Raw genomic sequence first — 6,368 nt, forward strand, 5'->3', positions numbered from 1 at the left:
TAAAGAAAATGTGGCACATATACACCATGGAATACTATGCAGCCATAAAAAAGGATGAGTTCATGTCCTTTGCAGGGACATGGATGAAGCTGGAAACCATCATTCTCAACAAACTAACACAAAAACAGAAAACCAAACATCACATGTTCTTATTCATAAGTGGGAGCTGAACAATGAGAACACATGGGCACAGGGAGGGGAACATCACATGCTGGGGCTTGTCGAGGGGTGGGGGTCAAGGGGAGGGAGAGCCTTAGGAGAAATACCTAACGTAGATGGTGGGTTGACGGGTGCAGCAACCACCATGGCACGTGTATACCTATTTAACAAACCTGCACATTCTGCACATGTACCCCAGAACTTAAAGTATAATGAAAAAAAAAAAATGTGCACCTGGCATTTGGTGTGGAAGGTAGACCCAGGAGGCACAGAGGCGGCTTCAGCAGTCTAGAGAAATAGTAAGAACATGGGGGAAAGCATAGACGACAGTCACCCTGCTCACTGCCACCCCACTTGGTGCAGGAGGGGACCCCAGGCCACCTATACAGTCAACACCTTCCACGCTGGCTCCCACCACTCCTCACCCCATCTTCTGCTCTCTGACACCCTGGCCCCCTTCCTGTGTCTCAGATCCGCCAAGACTTTTTCCTTTATGTAAGACTTTACCCCAAATATTGCATATCTGACTCATGTTTTTCAGTTCTTGACTCAAATGTCACCTTTTCAGAGAGCTTTTGTGGAACTAAAAGTTAAAAAAAAACAACAACTCACGCCTCAGACTTCTAGCATCTGACAGTTGAGAGAAGCTTACATTAGATTAACTCTCCTGTGAACAAAAATACTCTGGAAAACCTACGAAAATACAACTATTGGAAGGCAATGCAGAGTCACGATGAGGCTGAGGACTTGCTGCCAGAGATTGAGGCGACCGGAGTGGCTGGGACTGGGGTGAGAAATTCTGAAAACGAGGGAGTCATGTGGGGAAGCCCCAGCATCTGCTGACAGAACGTGTTCATAGCCTTGCCTGCCTCCTGGTGTCAACATGCAGAGATGTGGCCTCCCTCCTGGCACCTTCTCTCCTCACCAAAGTGCCATGGGCAAGACTCACAGAGAAACAGTGAGCCCCTCAGAACTGGTAGCTAAAAGCCCATGGCAGGCTGCCCGGATTCCCTGGCCCTTAGTCACCTGGATTCCAAAATACCAAATTGACATAGACTCCAATGAACCTGCTGGGGAGAAGCTGCTGGAAGGCTGGCACGGCTGAGCAGAGATTCCAGCGGCTCCCCAGGGCTGAGGAGACAACTGGAGTTCAAGCCCCACACTTTAATGAATTTGGCAAATCAGGCTTTCCATTGAGACCCAATGCTTAAGCATTATATAAGCACCATATTCCAGAACTAAAGCTTTTACCTTAGGATTAAGGACAACACAGAAGCCTTCTAACAAAGTCTAAAGCCAAGCATCCACATAATCAAAAGTGATCTTCCAGCAACTTGCCTGCCTGCTGGCACAAAGCTCAGCTTTGTCTGAGAGAGGGTACAGAATTCAGAATTCTATGACATAGCATTCACGATGCTTTGCACAGAATCAAGACTTACTAGACATGGAAGTGAAGAAGGAAAATGTAATCCATAATCAAAAGGAAAAAAAAATCAATGGAAATGAATGAATGAGTGTTCAGACGCTGAAATTTGCAAATTATTTAAATAAGTAGAATAAATATGTTAATTTGTATGCAAGAAAATTTAGATGTAATGAGTGGAGAAATGGAGGATTTCAAAAGAGATACAGAAATCTAATGACAAGCAAAGTATAAATATTAAAAGTAAAAATTTTGATATGTAAAATTAAACATTTATCAGATGGGGAATATAAGGAAGGATCAGGGAATACAAAGAAGTGTTGATAGATGTAGAAAGTAAAAAAGTTCCTCTTCAAAGTTTCCCTTCTTATTAAAGAATAAATCATAAGTATTAGAAATAATAGTTTCTTTTAAAGACTAGCTTTATGCTAGACATGCTCACAGGCATGTAGTACATTCTATGTCCTTGTACTTTAACCAAAATATCTGTGCTGGAAGTGCTCACAGGCATGTCCCAGCTCGCAGCCCATGCCCCTTCCTTATTTGGAAATGTTATTACTTTTCTAAGTCCTTTCATAAGCAAATTCCTCTTTTCCTTTGTCTTTCCATTACTTTTACCTATTTAAAAAAGTTTTAAACTGTTAGCCAATCAGGTTTTAGTTTAGATTGTAAGGTCTGGCTCCTGCCAATGGAGACAGGACACAGCAGCAGGGACAAACTGCGTAAGGAATAAAAATTGCTTCCCTCCTTTGTTCGGATGTGCTCTCGCCATTATTCCATCTGCGATGAGCACTCTTTCTGCAGAAAGTACAAAAGGCCTTGCTGAGAGGATTAAATTTATGTTCAAATGCTATTTCTTTGCAGCACTGGGGAACAAGCATTCTGTTTCTACATAAACATTTTTACATGTGACATAGATACCAAAGTTGAGGCATGGAAAATAAAGTTTCTAGAACAAGTGCACAAAGCCTCCGTCTTCACTGGGAAGGTAGTGAGCAAACTGAGAGAGTGCAATTGCAGTCCAAAGAAGGGAGAGGGAAGATGAGGCAGAAGAATCGTTCAAGAAATACTGGCCAAAACTTTCTAAATCTGATCAAGAGCATGAACCTGCATATCTAAGATCTCGATGAAACCCTAGCAGGAGGCCGGGCACGATGGCTCACGCCTGTTATCCCAGCACTTTGGGAGGCTGAGACGGGTGGATCATCTGAGGTTAGGAGTTCAAGACCAGCCTGACCAACATGGTGAAACCCTGTCTCTACTAAAAATACAAAATTAGCCAGGCGTGGTGATGCATGCCAGTAATCCCAGCTACTCGGGAGGCTGAGGCAGGAGAATCGCCTGAACCTGGGAGGCAGAGGTTGCAGTGAGCCGAGATCACGCCACTGCACTCCGGCCTGGGCAACAAGAGTGAAATTCCGTTTTGGGGAGGAAAAAAAAAAGCAAACCCTAGCAGGATAAACACAAAGAAAAAATCGCACCAAGGCGTACTGCCAAAAACAAAAGGTCAAGGGAAAACCTTTTTTGTTTTTTGAGACGGAGTCTCGCTCAGACCTTCCACTTCCACTGTTCTTCCACCTTCCCTACGGATCAGCGTTTCCATCTGGTAACACCTCCCCGAGCTGTAGACCTCCCTTCAGCGTTGCTGGGGGTATGGATCTGCTGGCAACAAATTCTCTCAGCTTTCACTCAACTGAAAAAAGTCTCATTTCACCTTCATTTTTGAATCATCTAGTTACAATTCTAAGTTAAGAATTTTTGTCTTGCAGCAACTTAGAAATGTTCTTTCATTATCTTCTCCTTTTATGATGAGAAGTCGTTTACCCTTCTGATTAATTTTTCCTTTTTTCTTCTTCTCCGGTTATTTTTAAGATTTTCCTTTAAACGGTGTGGTGGCTCACACCTGTAATCCTAGCACTTTGGGAGGCTGAGGCGGGTGAAGGTTAGGAGTTCTAGACCAGCCTGGCCAACATGGTGAAACCCCATCTCTACTAAAAATACATGGTGGCTGTGCCTGTAGTCCCAGCTACTTGGGAGGCTGAGGCATGAGAATCACTTAAACCAGGGAGGCAGAGGTTGCAGCGAGCCAAGATGGCACCACTGCACTCCAGCCTGGGTGACGGAGTGAGACTCCATCTCAAAATAAATAAACAAATGAAAATAAATAAATAAATAAATAAATAAATAAAAAGCCAACAGAGGAGAGAGAATGAAGTACTAAAACATGCTTGACCAGCTCAAGGCAAGATAGGTAAGATAGAACAAAGATAGGATATGAAATAAATAGCAAGATGGTACCCCTAACAGAACCATATCGATAATTACATTAAACGTAAATCAACTAAACACTCAGAAGGCACAGGTTGTCAGGATGGATTTTTTTTTTTTTTAAAAGAAGGATCCAGTGACTCGCTGTTTACAAGAAGGCACTTGCAGGGACAAACAGGATGAAAGCAAATGAATAGAGAAACACACACCACACAAACAGTGACCTTGCGACGTACCCTACAGATAGCCTCAGTTCATTTTCCTGCGTGCTCAGCAACCACTGTTTCCTGTTCCCAGTCACACAACCAGGCTGCGTTCCCTAGTGTTCCTTGCAGTCACCCAGCTGTGGTTCAGGTGGGGCCGAGGGGCAACAGGTGGAAGGGAGGTGCTCCATCACCATTAGGCACCAGGGAGTCACCAGAAGCCCCTGCCACGGGCACCCCCATGCTCTCTTCCAGTTCCAAGTGGCTGGAGTGGAGACCCACCTCAGGACAGGGGCCACATATGGAACGTGGAAAAGCCACATGCTAGAAGAAGCTGGGGACCTGGAATCACTGTGGAAGGAGAGGTGTCTGGCCAGGGGCACTTACCCTGTACTTTTATGACAGCAACAAATAAACGTGTGTGTGTGTGCGTGCATGTGTGTGTGTGCGCGTGTATGTGTGCATGCATGTGCATGTCCGTGTGTGTGTGCATGTCTGCGTGCATGTGTGTGTGTATGTGTGTGTGTGCCTACATGTGCATGTCCGTGTGTGTGCGCATGTGTGTGTGTGCGTGTGTGTGTAGCCACTGAGATAGCTGTTTCAGTTTGCTTTTCCTTAATAATACTCTCTACTCGTATTTACTTTGCAGCCCACATTGCTTTCTTGAGATATATGATCTGATATTATAATTATGCATTCATTTGTTTGTCTAGTTGTTTATTTTCTGTTTGCCCTCAATAGAACAGGTTTCTAGAGCACAAGGACCAGTCTTTCTGTTCCCTACTGCACCACAGGGCATAAAACAGTACCTGGCACATAGTAGGTGTTTATTAAACACAAGCCCTTTTTCTCTTGTACTTATGAGACCACAATAGTTGGAAGCCAAATCCCTGTGTGCTGGCGCAGGGAATGCTACTATAGAGCATCCATAGGGAGGCTGGGGGTGGGGCAGGAGCATCTGTAGACCCATAGAGAGCTCTGTGGACCCCGTTTTCTCATCCTTAGCAAAAAAGCCCTCAGAGGTCCCGCAGCCGACCTGTGCCTGGTCCCGGTGATGTGGGTGGTTCCCTCCACGGTATTTTATTGCTTACTTTTATTTCTCGCACAGAGATCACTCTGTGAATTACTTCGTTTTTTAAAAAAGATCGATTCAAATGTAATTTTTTCATTGTATTAAAATCACAATTTCGAAAGTCCAGTGCTTCTTGAGACTTTAAATTTGGCTGATAAACCGTGTTCTACCCGTTACAGGCAAATGTTAATAACTTCCTTTATGAGGCCTGTGGATAATTCTTGGTCCATCACAGACTTAGTTTATTTAATAGCTTTAAACATTTTAATTGCACTTCCAAAATTAATATGTTTAAATTTATGTTTTAGTACTTCAGCATTCCACCTTTAGCAAAACCTTCTGAGTATAAACTAATTTTTCAAAATCTAATAATTTAAACATATGACTGTGGGGGGAGGTCTCTTAAATGTTCCAAAACTACACACACACTACAGTTTTCCACATAAAATCACTAACTCATTCAATTCCTCGATTTCACATTTTCAATTGGATTATCAGGGTGTCACTGACATAGGCCAAATTCTCCAATACTCAAAATACCAAATTGACATAGATTGCTTTACGCTAAAATATTCATACTGTGAGGTTCAATTTCTTGATTCTGTCTAGACTTTAGAAGAAACACACACCTACTCAGGAGGCCGTCTCCACTCAGGGAGCCCAGGTGACTAAGGGCCCGGGAGTCTGGGCAGCCTGCCGTGGGCTTTTAGCTACCAGCTGTGTGAGTCTTGCCCGTGGCACTTTGGTGAGAAGAGAAGGTGCCAGGAGGGAGGCCACATCTCTGGGTTCCGTTTCCACACATCCCTGGGAGCCCGCCCTTCCCAGCCACGTTCTGCTCACACTGGGTCTGGCACGGTCAAAGTCGAGGTCTTTAAATGGCTTTGTGTTTTCAGGCCTGTATGACGCCAGGGACGTGGAGCTGGTCTGCCATGGATGAGCCTCACAGGGCTTTTTCCACTTGGGGTCATGAATCTAACCCTTTTGACACCTGCGCAGGGGCCATTGGTGGTGCAACTGGGGCCACAGCCTGCCACCTCTCCCTAATGGGACCGAACCCGAGGCCAGCATTTGCTTCAGGATTTGCTTTTCTCTAAAAGGCTTTGAAGCTGGGGCCAATCCACCAGTTCCCCTGTTCAGGGGGCAGGTGTCCAATGGCCCCCCGCGGGCAATTTCATGCCACCCATCCCCACCCCTTCCCCCGCCCCCACCTGAAGCTGCTGCCGTCCCATTCACAGTCCTGCGT

The 6,368-nt window shown here is 44.9% G+C and overlaps 1 long non-coding RNA gene across 1 annotated transcript in view, besides 2 other annotated features; it reads right to left on the reverse strand.

Annotated features, from left to right (window-relative positions):
• LOC101448202 (uncharacterized) overlaps nt 1–6,368 on the reverse strand; it is a 53,204-nt gene that overhangs the window by 38,181 nt on the left and 8,655 nt on the right. The gene's annotated exons all lie outside the window — the stretch shown is intronic.
• Nucleotides 249–398: an enhancer, noted in NCBI's record as "active region_29288". NCBI's record gives its function as "activates an Ori minimal core promoter by ATAC-STARR-seq in GM12878 lymphoblastoid cells {active_cell/tissue: GM12878}" and the evidence as "EXISTENCE:reporter gene assay evidence [ECO:0000049][PMID:35858748]".
• Nucleotides 689–978: an enhancer, noted in NCBI's record as "active region_29289". NCBI's record gives its function as "activates an Ori minimal core promoter by ATAC-STARR-seq in GM12878 lymphoblastoid cells {active_cell/tissue: GM12878}" and the evidence as "EXISTENCE:reporter gene assay evidence [ECO:0000049][PMID:35858748]".

The sequence above is a fragment of the Homo sapiens genome, chromosome 9 (assembly GCF_000001405.40).
Source record: "Homo sapiens chromosome 9, GRCh38.p14 Primary Assembly".
Classification (NCBI taxonomy): domain Eukaryota; kingdom Metazoa; phylum Chordata; class Mammalia; order Primates; family Hominidae; genus Homo; species Homo sapiens.